Source organism: Homo sapiens, chromosome 5 (genome assembly GCF_000001405.40).
Source record: "Homo sapiens chromosome 5, GRCh38.p14 Primary Assembly".
Lineage (NCBI taxonomy): Eukaryota > Metazoa > Chordata > Mammalia > Primates > Hominidae > Homo > Homo sapiens.
Window position 1 is genome coordinate 68,283,762 of NC_000005.10, and position 20,094 is coordinate 68,303,855.

General features: G+C 38.8%; 1 protein-coding gene across 9 annotated transcripts in view, besides 1 other annotated feature; it reads left to right on the forward strand.

Moving 5' to 3' along the window:
- The window catches only part of PIK3R1 (phosphoinositide-3-kinase regulatory subunit 1), an 86,066-nt gene extending 68,006 nt beyond the window's left edge, over positions 1–18,060 (forward strand). For 6 of the 9 annotated variants that reach the window (XM_005248542.4, NM_181523.3, XM_017009585.3 and 3 more), the window contains 9 exons: positions 8,498–8,600; positions 9,340–9,438; positions 9,542–9,722; positions 9,948–10,073; positions 10,775–10,917; positions 11,387–11,563; positions 11,659–11,727; positions 12,410–12,580; positions 13,651–18,060. In XM_005248542.4, the coding sequence (XP_005248599.1) occupies positions 8,498–8,600; positions 9,340–9,438; positions 9,542–9,722; positions 9,948–10,073; positions 10,775–10,917; positions 11,387–11,563; positions 11,659–11,727; positions 12,410–12,580; positions 13,651–13,840 (1,259 nt within the window). In that variant the 3' untranslated portion in view covers positions 13,841–18,060. Of the gene's footprint in view, positions 1–4,757; positions 4,991–6,902; positions 7,074–8,497; positions 8,601–8,815; positions 8,969–9,339; positions 9,439–9,541; positions 9,723–9,947; positions 10,074–10,774; positions 10,918–11,386; positions 11,564–11,658; positions 11,728–12,409; positions 12,581–13,650 lie in introns of those variants that run through there. The other 3 variants (NM_181524.2, NM_181504.4, NM_001242466.2) reach the window with 3 other exon arrangements.
- Positions 4,692–4,791: a silencer, noted in NCBI's record as "silent region_16074". NCBI's record gives its function as "represses an Ori minimal core promoter by ATAC-STARR-seq in GM12878 lymphoblastoid cells {active_cell/tissue: GM12878}" and the evidence as "EXISTENCE:reporter gene assay evidence [ECO:0000049][PMID:35858748]".

Below are 20,094 nucleotides of genomic sequence, written 5' to 3' on the forward strand. Positions count from 1 at the left end.
CCAAACCGGGTCTGCCCAGGAGCCGCCTCCTACACTCCAGCCCATTCTATCTGCCATGCCCTGCTGCCTGGATTTTTGGAAACTTCGTGAGCAATGAGGCTGCTTTTAGTGTCCAATCAAAAACTCCTCTGAAGTTTCCAGCATGTAATAAACTAAAAATATGTGAAATTAGCCCCCATGGGTCACATATAGTAAACAAAGTCAGGGCAATGTTTATACTTTTCAGGATAAGGCTCCAAATCACTCCATGAGCTGTGCAGTGGAAAAAAAAGTGGGCTTCTGACTCAAATAGATCTGGATTGGAATCTCAACTCTCTCGAGTAACTCAGCTTTTCCAAATTGTTTTCCAGACTGTGGAATTGGGTTAATGCCTCTCTCCTGGGGTTGGTATGAGATTTAATGAACTGATAATTTCTCTGCTATCTATCGCATCAACTCTAGCTTTTGAGGCCTTATGGGAGCTGTCCTCATTCAGCAGGTCTGATTCCTTCAGTCCACCCATTCCTCATTAGTTGTGTGAATCCTGTCAGGCCTTTTTCCTTACTGACGCCATGTTCCCAGCCAGCAGAGCTACGGCCTCTAGGAGCCTGTAGGGGCTAAAAGGGACACTTGGGAAGTTGCCACCCTGATGTGGGTACATTGCTTGGAGGGAGAAAGGTGCCTTTGTATGAATATGTGGCTTGGTGAATGGAGCAGCCTAGATTTCATCACCACTCCTCCATCTTGCCTAGGTGCCTTTGCACAGTGCACAAAATATGCAACCATACGTCGCTGCCCCAAGCAGTGCCATCCACTTTATCTGCACTCAAGTAGGTCCTTCCCGTTTTATATGCAAGTTAAGTCGACCCATTCAGTATGTTTATGCCTTTAAGCTTCCTGTCACCTTATGTTTAACTGTCTATAGTTTTTCCTATTCATCTGCTTAATTACATTTCTAAAGGGTAGGGGTAAAGGCTTTTTCTCCTTTTGAGCTCTTCCTAGCAGAGAACTAGGTACAGCATAATAATTATCTAAATTTTTCTTTGATAAACTTCCAACTTTCAAAGAATAGTAATACATCAACACATCTAATACATCCAGCAATCCTGGGAAATAAGGATTCTCCTCATTTACAGAGGGAAGCTAAGATTTGGAAAAGGTAGGGCACAGAGTAAGCTCTCTAGACTTTGTTGATAGTTTGCTGTTCTATTTTGTTACTAAAAAGTCTTAACTTGTCGTTTGGCTTTCAATATTTTTTTCTTGAATCATTGTGTTATCTTTACCCAATTAATGCTTAGGCAGGTAAAGTAGATTTCTGTAGGCAAACCAAGGTAAAAATAAGTCTATTTAACACAGGGTGCCTTTGAATGAAACCCATTATAAGTGTATTTACATATTTCAGATTTCATGGATATATTCAGAAATATTAATGTAATATAATTGAAGTCTAATATTGCACCCTCAAGCCCAGAGTGGAAAATAAATGACTCTTTCTACCCCTTGCCCTTCTACACCTGTCAAAGTTAATTTTTAACCACTGGCACATTGCAAAACATTCATCCTGAAGAGCCTGATTCATAAATCTTGTTTTAAATGCTCTGGGCTTGGTTCTCAACCCAGACTAAAGGCAAGCACTAAGGTAGAGGGAAATGACATTCAAAGAGTTTTACTTGTCTCTGATTTAATTTTTATTGGTTTAAAATGTGGTCTGACATTAGAGGGTTGCTTCAAAGGTGAAAAATGAAACTTTGAAAAATTACATGTTTGTAGATGCGTAGAACTAAACGGGCAAGCCACACTAGGTTTTGTCAAACAATAGTTTTATTTGTGTCCTGAGAGACACAGGTATTTTGGTATGTATGTGTTTAGGAGGGGTATATAGTCAGTTTTACTTTTGTTTTCACAGTGCAGATGTCTCTTTGTCTCAAGGGACAAAGATCTGAGGGAGAATTGCAGGGGGGACTACTTTATTCTGCTAAGCAGTGGGGATGCCTTTATCAGAAACCTGGTAGAATGTGTCAGAGTTTATACATACGTAAACCTGGGCTTATTTATATACTTAAATGGATGTTTTCCTTAGCATAATGTCAGTTAAGACCAGTGGATATGGAGCAAATAATTTGAATTACCCTAAAAGGCCCTCTGTTCTAAGTTGTCTTAAGTTAAAATTATGAAGAGAGGTATTCATTTTACCCTTAGATGAAGATTTTGGTTAATTTTTGTTGTCTATTCTTTTTTTCATGGTCTTTGTTCATAAATGATGTCCAGAAAAAGAAGAAGTTTTCTAGGTTGAAAGCTGCTTGTGCAACATTTGCCACTTGATGGTGACTTGTACATATGAAATATAGTATTCAGTTTGTAACTTTTGAACAGTTTAAGGATCAAGAGACATTTTCCTAACTATATCTGCTGAGAAGTGAAACAATGGGCTGTATTTGCCTCTGAAATGAGTTTTACGAAACTTTGAGGAAAGGGAGAATGATACATATTGTTTTAAAGAATCCAGAAGGTAAAGTTAGTTTTCCAGTGTGTCTAGGCCTTTGAGGTCCCAGAGAAATGCTGACATTAAAATAAAAGTTTTCCTACAACACTAGCAGCTTCGTGAAAACTGTACTTTTGATTTACTAATTAGTGAGTCATATAGATCAAGTGACAGTAATACAATTATGTACATTAGTTGGTGTCAAATTTGGACATACGAAATATACAGAAAGTTGATGGTTTTCTCCCAAAGCAGGAATTACTGATTCAGTTCTACCAGCAGAGGGCTCCCTTTTTTAAGCTAATAAAGAACATGTGTCTTGCAGATCACTTTTTAAACACTAAAATTCAACGGGAAAAAGATTCAGCTCACACTTTCCTAATATAATAGGACCTCTTTGGTAGATGATTGTACATATTGTGAGAAATTTGTTTAAGGCAAAGTTTTTCCAATCTATTTCAAGACTTTCTATACGTTGAGAGAGTACTGCTTTCCAGTGGCTTATTTTCTTCTGAAACAGAAAATATACTGGTGGACTTAACAGAGCATTTTAATCTTAGAAGGTTTTGACATGAAACATCATGTGAATCCAGACAGGTATGCTTAGGAGACTGATGTTTCCAATGTTTCTAGCTTTAGAAAGGCTATTTTTAAAAGTAGGGCAAGATTATGCAGCTCAGGATGCAAGGGTATTCTCTGAACTAACCATATGTCCCTATGATCAGATGGCAGATTCACTTATAGACTGTTATTTCCATTGGGAAAGTTTTTCAATATTATATCAGTTGCACTAAAGGAAAGTTTGTAAAATCACTTTCATTGTGGGTTTAACAGCACTTTCCAGATATTTCAAGTAACCCTGAAGCTAGTTGCTGCTGTTGGCCTGTGTGGACTTTATGTGACCACTGGATCACTTTCCCATGCAGAGTATGAGGGTATTATTGAAAGAACCTATGTCTTCAAAGGGAATGAAATGTTTTGTTTTAATTTAAGCAAGCTAAAAATAGAAAACAGAAAAAACCAGAGTTTTGTTAGGGGTGTGAAATTTTTTGCATGTGGCTTAAAAGATTAACTTCAGTTTTGTCCATTTTTTTTTACGTTCTCTAGCAAAGGGAAGTGAGGAGCAGGGACAATGGGTAGAGAAGGGCATTTGAAACCATCAGAAGATTGGGTTCTAGTCTTAGGGCTATAATCTTCTGTAAACCACTTCACCTCCCTGGGTCAGATTTCGTTTTCCCCTCTATGGCATGCAGGAATTGATTGAAGTGAACTCTAAATTACTTTCTGGTGTAAAGTTTGGTGATTTCCCTGGATAACCTTAAAGCTATCTATGCTCATGCAACTGAAAATTTTCTTAGATCAAATTTTAATTAAATAGTAGTCAGTAATCCCAAGTCTGGTCCATTGCCACTTTCTCAAATAAAGGGCAAACATCCGCTTAGAAAGGTATGCCCTTCTCTGCCCTTCTATCCTTTACCCCATTAGCTGGCACATAAACCTAATGCAGAGACACCTTTTAATTAGCAGGTCATATGGCCATTTAAATGCGAGTTGCAATCGACCTCATAAAAATAGCCGCAGTGTTGTTTTATTCTGAATCGTCACATGATCATGGAGTATAGTATGCATATGGTGTGGGGTTTAATATTCGTCCGAGGATGCCCTCCTACTACTTACTATTGAACATTTTTGTAATCTCCTCCCTGCCCGAGTTGCTCACAAGGGCTTTCCTGTTACACCTGCAGGGCTGTCTGTGCTGGTGTGTGGGAGGAGGTGCAAGAGGTGGACACGAGCGAGGCGCTGTGTTCTGGGTTGTTCCAAGAGGTTCAGGCCTTTACAAGTGAGGCTTTGATTCTATTTTTTGCTGAACTAGCTCAGCCACTTCCTGTGTTTGGCTGTGCATAGTGCCTCGCTTCACTGTCGGCTACTTGAGCCCCGCGAGCCAGCCAGCGCGCTCAGCAGCCAGTGAGACTATTTTAGGTCCCCTCACAATGGCCTTCTCATTTCCCAGGCGAAAATGAGCAAGTTGGTCTTGCATTGGCCACTTGTCAGCCGATGACAACTTTGACTTGGGCTCCCCTCCCCCTCCCGAAATCCCTAGCTCAGCAAATATTTGAACCTGCCCAAGTTAATCATGAAGCTGCGATCTTTATCTAAGGGAGACGTGCGAGCGCCTGGGCTCCTTTCCTCCCCGATACAGTAGCGAAATCCAGTTGGCTTCTCAATGAGGAGCCGGCAGTGAGCGGCGGTGGCCCGGACGCACTGCCGGGCGGGGCGTGGGGCGGAGGGACGAGCCGAGCCGAGCCAAGCGGAGCTGGGCCACTGTGCACGCCCGGAGGGTCCTGGCGGCGCCCCCGCTCCTGCGCGCACTCTCGGCGCCGGACACGAGCACTGCCTGCCGGGAACAGGCTGGGGGGAGGTGCGGGGGCTTGGCCCACTTGGTGGAAGAACAGCTTTGGGGATTTTTTTTTTTTCATTGTCGGATACAGGCATTTCAAAGGGAAACCGTTGAAATGCATAACCTGCAAAGTAAGTTGCCTTGAATTTGTGCACTTCTCTGTTCCTTATCTGAGCGGTGCCTTTCTGTAGTTTGTCTTGGAGTACGTGTGTGTGCGTGCGCCCCTGTAAGCGCTGCCTGGGGAGGACAGATGGGAGATTAGGGGAGACACTCCCCCTGTCCTCGAGGGGGACAGTGGCTGGGAAAGATAGGGTTTAGGTTGGAATTTCAGTAAGAAGGTACTAATTACAACGTGCTTGGTTGGAAGTTGGTGCCAGGCCAGGGCTTGGAGAGACCATGGGAAAATCACCTGTCTCCCTGCCTTCTCCCTGAGTTAGTTTGCCACAGAAGATCCAACAGCCAGACTGGTTTGCACCGACGGTTCCCAAATGCATGGACTGGCACTCTGGGCTGTTACACCCGCCACAGCTGCTCGGAGAACTTGTCTCCTTGCTTCGGGGGAGGGTCGACATTTTAATTAAACTAAAAAAGAATGTTTTTCTGAATCTTAGGGCATACAGCCACTTTTACCATTTTTATTTGAATTTGAGTTCAGGTAAACTTAGGCAAATAGAAAAGTGGGAGAGGGTGGGAAGAGACAAGGTGAGCCTGCTTTTCCCAATACTGGGAAAATGAATTAAACTAGACGGGGGACGTCAGAGAACAGAATGCCTTGCCTTTGGTCTGCTTTTTAATATATTTTATGATCCCAAATTTTACAGAAAGTCTCAAGGGTTTCTGTGTTTTTTAAATGGTCAAATATGTGACATACATGTGTACATAGATCACAGAGCCCCACTGTAGTTTTTTAAATGAGCCACATTTACCTTGGGGAAGAGCCCCTCCCCCCCCGCCATCATAATATTGTGAATGTAAAGAGAGATTGGTTCACAATGAGAATGTACAGTAGGCTCCTATAAGGGTGACAGGATTATATGCAGAATGACTTTGAAGAGCCAAAATTGATTTATTTATGTTAAGTAGTGCTAAGAAGGAATATTTGTCCCGGAGTGAGGCATTTGAGATAGAGGGGGAAAAGCAAAAAAAAAAAAAAAAAAAAAAAAAAAGTGATTACATCATCTTCCCGTTCAAGCAGTATTAGTAGCGAAGATGGGTTCATCAGTGAAATATTTTGCAAAGATAAATATACCTCCACTCTGCATTCTGATCTATAGCCTCTTTCTTTTTGGAAGAAGCATTTTCTTTGCCCAGTTTTTTTAGGCAGTCACATTAAAATTCTCATTAATAATGTTGACAGACAATTACGTTTATTATTTCTGCTAATAGGCATCTGCATTCCTATTCAGAATTTTCATTGTTAGTCTATAAAGTCTAGTTTTAACTTTGGAATGTTTGGTAGAGGAGGACATCTATACATTTTCTTTTAACTGTCCTTTCTAATGTGGTACATTTGTGACAGTGTTTGAATTCTGGGTTTTCAGTGAATTATGGAGGACTAAAATACCAGGAGTAGTCCGTACTGCTTCTCTTATACATGAGAGATATCTAAGGACTATAAAACATAACTTAAGTATACCCTTTTAATGCCTTTGTAAGATTTTTAAACCAAGGAATGACTGGGCTATCTATAAACCCAGATGCACTAAGTGGGGAGAAAAGCTCGGAGCTGCAGCATATCAGCTTTTGTCAACCTGCCAACAGCAGAGCGTACCATGCTGCAAGGAGTAATAAACAAGGAATTAGAAAACTCGCTGCTGGAGAACAGTCAAATTAAACACCTTTTTGAAAGGATGAGCATGTATATATTGCAGTTCTATTAAATGTAGCTTCTTAGTGAGGTTGGCATTATGTTAAGGCTGGTATGGAAGAGAACTGATGAAGCAGGAGTGGTCTGGTGACATTTTTCTGACTTGATTGGCTGGGGCGTGTGATGTAATAGGTTTCAGTGCAGCCCCTTATAGGTTTTAAAATGAATTCCAAGACACCATTACAAAGAAAGCCGGACTCTTTTCTTATAACTGAGCTCAGCCAAGGAAACTCTTGCACAAATGTACAATACTGTTTGGAATATGGAAGACCTGGATTTAGAATATGCCAAGACAGATATAAATTGTGGCACAGACTTGATGTTTTATATAGAAATGGACCCACCAGGTAATACTGCAGTATTATTGTAGAGAGTTAGTTAATTTCGTGGCTTTTTAATTTTTCGAAAGCTACTGTAAAAGATCCTTTTTGGATTTCTGTTTTTATTAATTTGTTTCATTGATAAAAATTAGTTTGCTCATGGCTTAAAAATTAAACAGATTGTTTGACTGTCTGTGGAAGCAAGCAGCTCAGGCTGTGTGTGGTAAATGCTTATTCTTACTTGAATGGATATGAATTGAACTCCAGTTTTTCACTGGTGTCTTTTGTTAATCGAGATCCTTCCCTGGGTGAGTTATGTTGTGGGATATTGTCCCTGTAATTAAAATGATGCATCTTTTGTGCTGCTTTTCTCTGTTGCCAGTGGATGAGAACAGTGTAGCACTTTGCAGTGATAACACTTGGTACTTTAGAAAGCATGTAAAATGTAGCAGTGATTACAACTCAGTTCTCTAAATGTTGAGACTTTGCTTGCTCTCTCATATTAAGATATTATAATGAAAAAAGAAGTTGACTTTCCATTATTGTTAGTCTTTGTAAAATATTCTTGGTAGATACCTGAAATCATTTTTTGTATAAGTTAAAATAGTAACAGTGCTTTAAAACTTATGACAGAATTTACCTAAAAATCCTAGATTTATTTTGTTTCCTAAGTAAGTTGTTTTATTCCAATGTTAGCTCTCCCCCTGCCCCCATTTAAGGTATTCAGGAATACTGCAGTCTTTTATTTGTCACCAATTGGTATATATGAATACTGATTTGACATTGAGGAAGGGGGATATCATTTTTAATCAGACCTAGTATATAGAGCACAATTTATCCAACAGAATATTAACATATTAAAGAGATTTAGGGCACAGATGAGAGTTTCTTAAAGTGGCTTTTGGCAGAACAGTGCCTGAAATACTAAGATTAGAGAAACCCAATTGCTCCTCTTAAAACATACTGCTGTAGATGAGCCTTTTTATTACTGCAACAGAGTTTGTGGAGGACAGAGACCAAATTTGTCTTTCGTAATTAAATAAGAGGAAATTAAAGCCAACTCATGTTATTCCTGCTACTCATATGTTCATAGTTTCTTACTTTAGATGGATTTGACCAGGCATGAAACTTTAATATAACTAGAATCTAGAAGTACAGAATGTCATGACTCTGGATTTACTTTGAAATTTATTCACATGGCCAGCCCAATTTATTTGTTAGTTTCTAAGGCTCTCTCTCTTTTCTCCTTTTCAGTTTCATTTCTTTTTGAGCCATGCTCTGAAAGATTTTTTTTAAGAAAATTATCTTCCATATTGCATGGAATTGTGAACTAATGCTATATATTTCAGTTACTCTAACTTTTTATTTTTTTAAAGTAAAAGTATTCATCTAAAGAAATTTAGTTCTAATGTAGTTGGGATTGCGAACAACTTTTTCTTTTTCATCTGCAGCACTGCCTCCTAAACCACCAAAACCTACTACTGTAGCCAACAACGGTATGAATAACAATATGTCCTTACAAGATGCTGAATGGTACTGGGGAGATATCTCGAGGTAAGGCTACAGAAACTTCATTTTCAGAGAGTTTTAGATTAAAAGAAAGAAAAGCACCAGCTTGCTAAGTTCCATTTTTAGGATATCATCCAACATAAGCATGAAGCATAGTTGGTTCTCTTCCAAAGACGACCAGAAAAAGTCACTGAGCACTGGAGAACTGTGGGTGCTGGATGCCACAGGAAATTAAATACCCGGGAAGTTTCATTATTGACAGAGATGTCAGTGAAGTGCCAGAGTGAAGTGGCACTGCCTAAGAACAGAGTGTGAAGGCACTCTATCTATTAAGCACAACTCTAAGAATTCTTGCCTTAAACACAATAAGAAAACAATGCCATTTTATGTTAGCTTTGGGAAGGGGGAGTAAGGTTGGAGAAACTCTTTTGAGATCATGAGTTTCTGTGCTCATTTGTCAGAGAGATTGTAATGTTTGGTTGAAAAAATAAAAACTTAGTACCACAGATACACCAATAGTGAAAGTGATATGCACCTGTTTGTGATGAGACTGCAATTGCTAACATTTCTATTTAAACAAATTATTAGCTCTTATTAGTGAGCTCTGAAAATGCAATTCATTAATTTAAATCTATGTGGGCAGGAGGAATATGGGCACTCACTGTACTTTCCACTTGATTTTGCTGTGAACCTAAAACTGCTCTAAAAAATAGCCTATTTTAAAAAATATAAATCTGTGGTCACTAAACCTTAAGATGAGCATTGTTTTGTGTTTTCATTTCAGGGAAGAAGTGAATGAAAAACTTCGAGATACAGCAGACGGGACCTTTTTGGTACGAGATGCGTCTACTAAAATGCATGGTGATTATACTCTTACACTAAGGTAAGCCAGGGAATATAGCTGAAATTAGGGTTTTGGGCTGATATTAAAACATATTTCCTTATTCCAAAATGTTAATACCTTTATTTTTATATTGTTTTTACAGGAAAGGGGGAAATAACAAATTAATCAAAATATTTCATCGAGATGGGAAATATGGCTTCTCTGACCCATTAACCTTCAGTTCTGTGGTTGAATTAATAAACCACTACCGGAATGAATCTCTAGCTCAGTATAATCCCAAATTGGATGTGAAATTACTTTATCCAGTATCCAAATACCAACAGGTAATAAAAACTGAATGAATTATCCAGTTACGATGTTTAGACAAGATCCTTTTAATACTTAGAAAACATTTGAAGCAGATGAATTACATGTAATCAAGTCTAAAAAACTTGACACTCGTAATTACATAATTGCAATTTTAAAGATGTTTCCATGTCAGCTATTTTGTTAAACAATTGTTATTTGATTAAATACCTTATCCATTGAATTTATTTTAATCTTTCTAGGATCAAGTTGTCAAAGAAGATAATATTGAAGCTGTAGGGAAAAAATTACATGAATATAACACTCAGTTTCAAGAAAAAAGTCGAGAATATGATAGATTATATGAAGAATATACCCGCACATCCCAGGTGAGTTTTCTATGAAAATCAGATTAAAAAATAAGAGTTCTAAACTTTTAAAGACTAACATGGAAAAAAGAATTTAAAAGGTTGAGTTTTTACGAATGAGGTGGGGGTGAGAGCATTTATTTGTGAATCATTGTTGATTATTCTAGTGTAATATCTCTAAAGCTTTAAACCAAAAATTTTAAGTATCAGAATAATAAATTAAGTTCACGTGATAACTGAAGCAGTCACTGAGTTTCAAGTTGATTTAATTCGTGATAGAAGGATCCTGTTTAGATTGGAAGTTAGTAATAACTGGAAGTTTCACAGACTTGTCTAATCCCTGAAATGGAGATTTAGGCATTAATATATATCCTACCATGAAAAGGAAGGGCTATATACTGCTGTGCTTTTCTAGACCCTTATTCTTCACTGGTCACTCATGTATCTGGGAATGCCAGAGGGAACAGAAAACAACAGGGATGCTATAAACTACAATAGCTTTTAAGAAGATAAAAACTATAGGAAATTGCTACGCAATCATTTTTCATAGATTGAGAAAATTCTCCAGAGGAAATACTTGTTTCTGGGATACTGTTTTAATGGATTTTATGAATTTGAGTCCCACTCTGCTAATAATACAGATCAAATGTCCTGGTAGTGTCTTGCAGTAAGAGATTGTTCTATGAAAGGTATGACATTATCTTTTTAAAATTATGTTGCAGGAAATCCAAATGAAAAGGACAGCTATTGAAGCATTTAATGAAACCATAAAAATATTTGAAGAACAGTGCCAGACCCAAGAGCGGTACAGCAAAGAATACATAGAAAAGTTTAAACGTGAAGGCAATGAGAAAGAAATACAAAGGTTGGTGTTTCCCTTGTTCTTGTGCTAGAGATAACCAAAATCCTCTAAAACCATTTAAAGATGATCTCGCTTTCTGTGCTTTGAATGATCACGTGGACACAGGAAGGGGAATATCACTCTGGGGACTGTGGTGGGGTGGGGGGAGGAGGGAGGGATAGCATTGGGAGATATACCTAATGCTAGATGACGAGTTAGTGGGTGCGGCGCACCAGCATGGCACATGTATACATATGTAACTAACCTGCACAATGTGCACATGTACCCTAAAACTTAAAGTATAATAAAAATAAAAAAATAAAATAAAATAAAATATGTTGAGCCACTCCAAAAAAAAAAAAAAATGACAGGAAGAGAAGCCACGCTTTACCTAAGGAAAACTGCTGGGAAACCATAGTGAAACTTTTCATAAACTTTGGGGACCGTTCCTGATGTACCCAGATAATAACAAATACGTTTCTTTTGCCTGCAGGATTATGCATAATTATGATAAGTTGAAGTCTCGAATCAGTGAAATTATTGACAGTAGAAGAAGATTGGAAGAAGACTTGAAGAAGCAGGCAGCTGAGTATCGAGAAATTGACAAACGTATGAACAGCATTAAACCAGACCTTATCCAGCTGAGAAAGACGAGAGACCAATACTTGATGTAAGTATTTGAAATGGAATCCTATACATGAATAATTGGTGATTGCTACAATTCAGGATGAGTTAATGCGTTCTCTTTTCAAAACTGTTTTTCAGGTGGTTGACTCAAAAAGGTGTTCGGCAAAAGAAGTTGAACGAGTGGTTGGGCAATGAAAACACTGAAGAGTAAGTAGTTACTAAAGATGGTGATAGCAGAAGATTTTTCTCATTTTAGGAAAATGCATGACTTGCTTTGTTTTTAGAACAAGTGAGGAATTTTACTGAGTTTGGAACATCTTGTAGGAGAAAATGTATAAACTCAGTGCCATTATCCAGAATTTTAAAAAAAGAAAGCTTAGCTAAGGAGGACTAGGATTTATTTTTACTCATAATGCTGTGAAACAACTCTCTGTGTCCATAATGATGTCCCTGAACATCTGAAAAATCCCAAAATATTTTTGGAACAGTCAGAGAAAAAATAATTATGCTTAATATATTTTAAAGCTTAAGTATATACTTTGTTTGAATTAGTCAAAAACTGGCAATCTGCCTAGTCAATTTCCTGATCTAAACTGGATAAACGAGATTGTTTTAATACCTTCCACTCTGCCCAGGTACCTGAGTGTGGTTGCTTGAAAACAGAAATAGTACAGTTGATTGGTAACTCTTTGTCCTGGGAGGTTGCACTGGAGGCTGAATACCAGGAGAGGAAAACTCAGGTCGGGCAGAGGCAGGCATGTGATGGCCAGTCTGACTGGCTTGGTAGGGGCCAGGAGGGAAGTGACGGGGGTATGCCTAGGGAAGACAGCAAGGCAGGCTGATGGCTCCTGCACTCTTCATTTAGAAACTTTCTGTCCTGCCTGCCTAGCCAATATTCACTGGTGGAAGATGATGAAGATTTGCCCCATCATGATGAGAAGACATGGAATGTTGGAAGCAGCAACCGAAACAAAGCTGAAAACCTGTTGCGAGGGAAGCGAGATGGCACTTTTCTTGTCCGGGAGAGCAGTAAACAGGGCTGCTATGCCTGCTCTGTAGTGTATGTATCTCCAGCAAACTTTTCTTTACAACATCTCATGAAGAGATGTTTCATTTATTCATTCATTGAGTTTTGGGGGCAAAGATTTGACATAGTTTTAGTCTTGAATAAGCTTACAGTACAATAATGTAGAAGAGAAACCAAAGCAGCTGTAATACCATTTTAAAGTCTAGCCAGAAGTGTATGTTAATACAGTCTAATAGATACCTACTGTTTAGTTGGAAGACTAGGTTTGGATTCCCATTCAGTGCTAATTAATCATGAGAAATCGCCAAGTCTTTTTTTCTCATCTTTAAAATGGAAGTGGCAGTGCCTGCCTTTTTTGCCTCTCAAGGCTACTATAGTTAGAATCTGAGGTAATTTATGTGAGAACATCACCCATAGGAAAAATACTCATCAGGAACAGGTGAAAAAAAAAAGGATTCTGATCATTATCCTTGAGATAGGTACACCCACATTGGATCACTGACATCACCATTTCCAAGAAATTAATGTCCTCTAGTAGGGAATGGTTCTAAAAGTATGTTACACTCCATGATCACCTTTCATTTAATGAGAGAAATAGTCCTACAGCAAAGAAGGGTACTTTTGTCCTTACTGTGCATAAGGGCACATGCAGAGATGGAGAGTTGTGCAGACACCTCAAGGACAGCCAGAAAGAAGGAATCCTATGAATAGTCATAATGGGAGTAATAGTAACACTGCTAGTCATGGAGCACTGCAGATAGTTGTCCTCATCATGATTGGAAGCTACCACTTGTTGCATGCTTACTGCATGTCAGGCATTCTATCTAGCATTTTGCATGCATGATCTCATTTCATTTCTCAAAGTAACTGTATTACATGTATTTTACTATTGTCTTCCCTTTAAACCATTTTAAAGATGAAAATACAGTCAGTCAGTGAAGCTGGGTTACCTACCCAAGGCACTCGGCCAGGTGTCAGTTGTAACCTAGGACCCTTTCCCCAAGTTGAGACTGCACAATAATGCTTTTTATTAAAGATGCCCTGAAGAGTTGTGAATTGTCTTGGACAAGCTCAAAAGACAGTTTTTCTTCTCTCCTCTCTAGGGTGGACGGCGAAGTAAAGCATTGTGTCATAAACAAAACAGCAACTGGCTATGGCTTTGCCGAGCCCTATAACTTGTACAGCTCTCTGAAAGAACTGGTGCTACATTACCAACACACCTCCCTTGTGCAGCACAACGACTCCCTCAATGTCACACTAGCCTACCCAGTATATGCACAGCAGAGGCGATGAAGCGCTTACTCTTTGATCCTTCTCCTGAAGTTCAGCCACCCTGAGGCCTCTGGAAAGCAAAGGGCTCCTCTCCAGTCTGATCTGTGAATTGAGCTGCAGAAACGAAGCCATCTTTCTTTGGATGGGACTAGAGCTTTCTTTCACAAAAAAGAAGTAGGGGAAGACATGCAGCCTAAGGCTGTATGATGACCACACGTTCCTAAGCTGGAGTGCTTATCCCTTCTTTTTCTTTTTTTCTTTGGTTTAATTTAAAGCCACAACCACATACAACACAAAGAGAAAAAGAAATGCAAAAATCTCTGCGTGCAGGGACAAAGAGGCCTTTAACCATGGTGCTTGTTAATGCTTTCTGAAGCTTTACCAGCTGAAAGTTGGGACTCTGGAGAGCGGAGGAGAGAGAGGCAGAAGAACCCTGGCCTGAGAAGGTTTGGTCCAGCCTGGTTTAGCCTGGATGTTGCTGTGCACGGTGGACCCAGACACATCGCACTGTGGATTATTTCATTTTGTAACAAATGAACGATATGTAGCAGAAAGGCACGTCCACTCACAAGGGACGCTTTGGGAGAATGTCAGTTCATGTATGTTCAGAAGAAATTCTGTCATAGAAAGTGCCAGAAAGTGTTTAACTTGTCAAAAAACAAAAACCCAGCAACAGAAAAATGGAGTTTGGAAAACAGGACTTAAAATGACATTCAGTATATAAAATATGTACATAATATTGGATGACTAACTATCAAATAGATGGATTTGTATCAATACCAAATAGCTTCTGTTTTGTTTTGCTGAAGGCTAAATTCACAGCGCTATGCAATTCTTAATTTTCATTAAGTTGTTATTTCAGTTTTAAATGTACCTTCAGAATAAGCTTCCCCACCCCAGTTTTTGTTGCTTGAAAATATTGTTGTCCCGGATTTTTGTTAATATTCATTTTTGTTATCCTTTTTTAAAAGTAAATGTACAGGATGCCAGTAAAAAAAAAAAATGGCTTCAGAATTAAAACTATGAAATATTTTACAGTTTTTCTTGTACAGAGTACTTGGCTGTTAGCCCAAGGTTAAAAAGTTCATAACAGATTTTTTTTGGACTGTTTTGTTGGGCAGTGCCTGATAAGCTTCAAAGCTGCTTTATTCAATAAAAAAAAGAAATGAAAAAGATATATGAATATGACAAAGTATTGCTGAGTCCAACAATGTTGTTTTAAGACTCTTAAAATACGGTACCTGGCAATGTTTATTTCATAAAGAATTGTGAACTTCTTGAATCTAGGGAGGGGGAATGTAGTGAAGGGATGTATCAAGTGGGGTGGTGGGAGGGGGAGGCAAGGTTATATGCACTTTCTCATGATTTACAGAGAAGTGAATAACTGCAAAGTGAAGTTGCTTCTTCTACTTCAGTCTTCTCTCACTTTGATTTGCTAGTTGTTATCAATTAATGACAATTACAAACCTACTGTATCTCTAATACAGTGTGACTGGTCAGGTATTTCAGTTCTTAGGAAGGAAGTGCCAAGTTTGTTTTTGGGTTCCTGGAACAGCGCTCACCTTTGTTTAGAACACTGGTTTAAAGGGATAATCATCTCTGTCACATTAGACTATCCATCATGACCAGCAAATACTCATTTTAGGAAAAAAAAAAGCATGATCTGAAAAATACTTTTGGTGGTATGTTGGTTACCCTCCTAGCTTTCCATTTGGTTTAGAACATAAAGCAAATAGACACAGTCATACTGTCACTGCTCTGGACTGTGTGGAGCTCGCTAAAGTCATGGTCATTGCAGGAATCCAAGTGGCAGTCCTTCTCATTCATTCTAATCATTGTATGTGCTTCACTACGGGGGGGAGAAGGAAACGTTAGCATCATGTTTCCCATTTAGGGCAGGAGTGAGAGGTCTCTCTTCCTGATTTAGATATGCAAAAGCTGGTATGTTCAGTAGGAACTGTACATGTGTTGGGAGGCATAAAGACTAATTAGCAACCATAATATGGTCACTACCCTAATAGACTAAATGAAATCTTGCAATTTCAAATTACTCTTTCTCCATATTAGATTTACCCACAGCTATATTTCTGTTTAAGTACTAGGGTGAGGGTTTTCTGTTACTTTGTTTTTTAATGTTGTTCCTTTTGAAAGAATCAGTCTTGCAGCTGAGTGAAAAATCTGTGGAATGTATTATTTGTCCTCTTTACATGAAACTACTCATACTTAAGCAAAAGTCAGTCTTATAGCAAGACTGTTAGCCCTCAAACTTGACTCTACTGATCTGACCATTTCCCTCTCATCGCCAGACAACTGACGATTTCCCTGGTTTTAGTCTGCGTCTCTGCTTTAAAGTTATTGTGATATCCTTCTAGATCATACACAAGTCTAACAGTTAATTAGTTAACAGTTTTTAAACTAGGTTTGTGGGTATTTTTTTGGTAGCACATGTATGCTATTACATACAAATTTTTATTTCTAAAATATAAGATCTGAGATTGAATATTTTCATTAAAAGCTACAGTTTTGTGAATCTTTGTGCTTCAACATTCTTTGCAAGATGATACGGTATTTAGGCATTTGCCTTATTTTTGCATCTCACAAACATAAGTGCAATAGATCTTTTCATTGAACAGCAAAGTAGGATTCATCATTCCATATGACTTGAGTTACACCAGACCTGTTCTGCCCAATGCCTTTTTGATTACAGTGTAGCTTGCCCACCGCATTTGTCGTTTTAGATACTTTGCTAGCCGGCCACTTTGGATTTCATCAGACAGTCCTAACAATATTGTCTGAACGGCTGAATATGAATAGATACAGCAGAGGCACTCCTGATATATGATTTTTATCCATGCGTCAGTTTTTCCCACCCAGTGTAGCATCCTAAAGATAAAGCCAGAAGCTAAGCTGCAGTGAGGCTGTGATTGGGCGTAGAAGTGGGAGCATTGGGACCTCACATTACACACACGAGAGATCATAACCATGTGAAAAGGCAAAAAGCATGTGTTTGCAACATCTGATAACTTCATGGCCTTTGATAAATGTATATATGTATATGTGCATGGACTGTGTTTCCAGTACACCTTTCAGCCAAAACAGATCCACAGTAGTTGTTGAGTTCAAGTACATAAAGTACATAACAAGCGAACGTCTAGTACAATTCTTACTTATGTGTATGGGATTTTTCCCTTTGAGGTTGCTTTGTTTTGTCTTACAAAGGTGAAAATTGTTTGTAAGTGAAGTGAGAAGTTCATATTTCTTTGGCTTTTTTGTGTTTTTAAAAGTTACTCCTTTTAGGGAGCTGGTCTGATGACTTGCTTAGCTTGGAAATCCTTGTTTTCAGTGTGTCGAGTCAAAATGTGTTTATGTGAGCTGTCACTGTGGGGAACCAATTGCTTTGTCATATAGCTGGTTATGAACTAGTAACATGTTTGGGAAGTCCTACTGATGTTCCTTTGGAAGAAAAAATCTGCTGGTTTTAACAACTGTGCTTTTGCTATGTATGGTATCCAAGTTAGTTGAAACGCAGACACTGAGATCTGTTTGAGTTTAGGGTCATTTTTAGAAAGGGGCAGTTTAAAGCACAATGTCTCACATGGGACAAAGTTCCAAAATGCCAAATTCTTATTTTTTAAAAAGCTAGTTCTATAAAATACTGGTATTATGGGTGGGGAGGAAATAGAATTGAGTCAATTGGAAAGACTATCCAACTTAACATGAAACTTGTCACCATGAGATAGCATTAGCTGCCCAGGATGCTGCTATATATATATATATATATATATATGTGTGTGTGTGTGTGTGTGTGTGTGTATATATATATATATATATATATATATATATATATATATATGTGTGTGTATATATATATATATGTGTATATATATATGTATATACATATATGTATATATATGCACATATATATATGTATTTAAAAAAATCAAAACAAAAAAAAACTCATTTATACCTGTGTATTTTTTAAAGCTACAATCTGTTCAATGTTTTTAAAAATCTGTTTATATGACATTGTTAAAATAAAGTTGGTCTTTTGACGAGAGGGAGGATGTCACGGTCAGTTGTAACTTTGCCTTCACAAGGCAACTGGGGTGGGGGGTGGGGGTAGTGTGCCTCCTTGACATTTCGTTCAAGTTATAGATTCAATGGAGCTATGTCTTGTTTTAAGTTGCTTTAATGCATTGTATTAGATCTTCAAACAGAATAAAGGTTGTTTTGAAACTGAAGTTTTGGGTTGAAATTTCACTTATCACCTAAGAAATCTTTCTAAAACAGCTACCTTTTGGCTTATAAATGTTGCTGCTATTTCTGTTGTCTCCCACCCACTCCCTTTTGATTGTTATCACAGTATCTCATTTTTGTAAAGTTGAGAAGGACATTGAGTGGTCACATGTAAGTAATACATATGAGCTGTCTTTCATAATTTCACTGTTTTTTGAGACGGAGTCGGAGTCTCACTCTGTTGCCCAGGCTGGAGTGCAGTGGCGCTATCTCGGCTCACTGCAAGCTCCACCTCCTGGGTTTACGCCATTCTCCTGCCTCAGCCTCCCGAGCAGCTGGGTCTACAGGCGCCCGCCACCATGTCCGGCTAATTTTTTGTATTTTTAGTAGAGACGGGGTTTCACCGTGTTAGCCAGGATGGTCTCGATCTCCTGACCTCGTGATCCACTCGCCTCGGCCTCTCAAAGTGCTGGGATTACAGGCGTGAGCCACCGCGCCCGGCCAATTTCACCATCTTAAATGAGGAAATACACCTAGGTAATGTCCCTTCAAGGCACGTTCTCGCTATAGGAAAACTAGAATGCCCATCATCCTTCAATTCTCGCCTCCTCCGCATTCATACCCAAACCTTGAGAATCATCCTCTAAGAACGAAGTGTCCAGTTTTGTCTCTGTTGTGCAGTCTGCATATTTTGAACACTCACAGTGCAGGGATGACATGGGACTGTAGACAGGGAGCTAAGTTACACCTCAAATGCAGATTTTACATTGTATCACCTAGTCAAGATACACAAGTCTTACTGTAGGATAACTTTCCCATTTGTTTTGATTGCTAAGTGGACTTAAGGCAATACCACTTTGCATGTATATGGTGTTTACATGTAGACACAGTGAGGGTCTAGACCTGAAAGACATAGTCTAGTAGTAGAGGGGAGAGGGACGTACAAATAATTACTCTCAGGGCAACAATGACTAATATTTTTTGAGTATGGCAGTAGCTCCCAGACTGATGTTCTGCTTTCCCCCTGCTCTGTTTGGTATCACAGAGAACTATATTCGCTGGAGCGCTTGTCCTGGGGCTTCTAGGTGTCTCTTCCCTGGCTCTAGCTCCTGCCAGATAGACCCTCATTTTCAGGTCTGAGCAAACCCCCTCTGCTCTAGCTCTCAGGAGAAGGCTCTGGAAACATTACCTACTCCCATTTTTTACTCCAGCCCAAGAAGTGGTTGCAGCTTTATGCTGTTGCTAAACGTCTGGTTTCCCTCACCACCCCCATTTGGTTTCTGAACCCTTCCCTCACTCAAGTAATTATCATTCAATTATTCCAGTAAGAGCTAGGGTAATTCCCCCCCCACATACACACACTGGTCTCTGACATATCAAGTGATTATTATCTGTTAAACTCTTTGTTTTACTCTTTCCACAATTACCTGGGTAAGATGATTATATTCCCATTCTTTAGATGAGAAAACAAGCATAGATGTGAGATGACTTGCTCAAGATCATGCAGCATCTGAGAACAGAGTTGAACGCATAGGCTTCTCAAGCCAGAGCTCTTTGCCCCTATGCTGTAATGTAATAGACTTTCAATGGAAAATGCACAAGAGAATGCAAAAAAAAAAAAAAAAAAAGGCTCACTGGTAACTTTTTGCTGGGGAGGTAACCATGTGGCTTTCAATTAGTAGACAGTGCACAGGTGGTCAATGATGAATCACAGGAAATAGCCTGGGCTTGCTTTAAACCAGTGGTTCCCAAAGTGTGGTTCCCAGACTAACAGCATTCACATCAGCATCACTTGGAAACCTGTTAGAAGTACAAATTCACAGGCCCTACCCCTGACCTACTAACTCTGACACTGGAGCCCAGCAATCTGTTTCAACAAGCTGAGTGATTTTAATGTATACTAAAGTTTGAAGATCACGACTTTAGATCACCTGCTTACTGAAATAGTACTTCTAGCATTTTAACTAAAAACCATTACCATTAATGAGTGATATGTTACTTTCTAATTTATTTTCATAATGTAGGCCATAGGAAAAAGA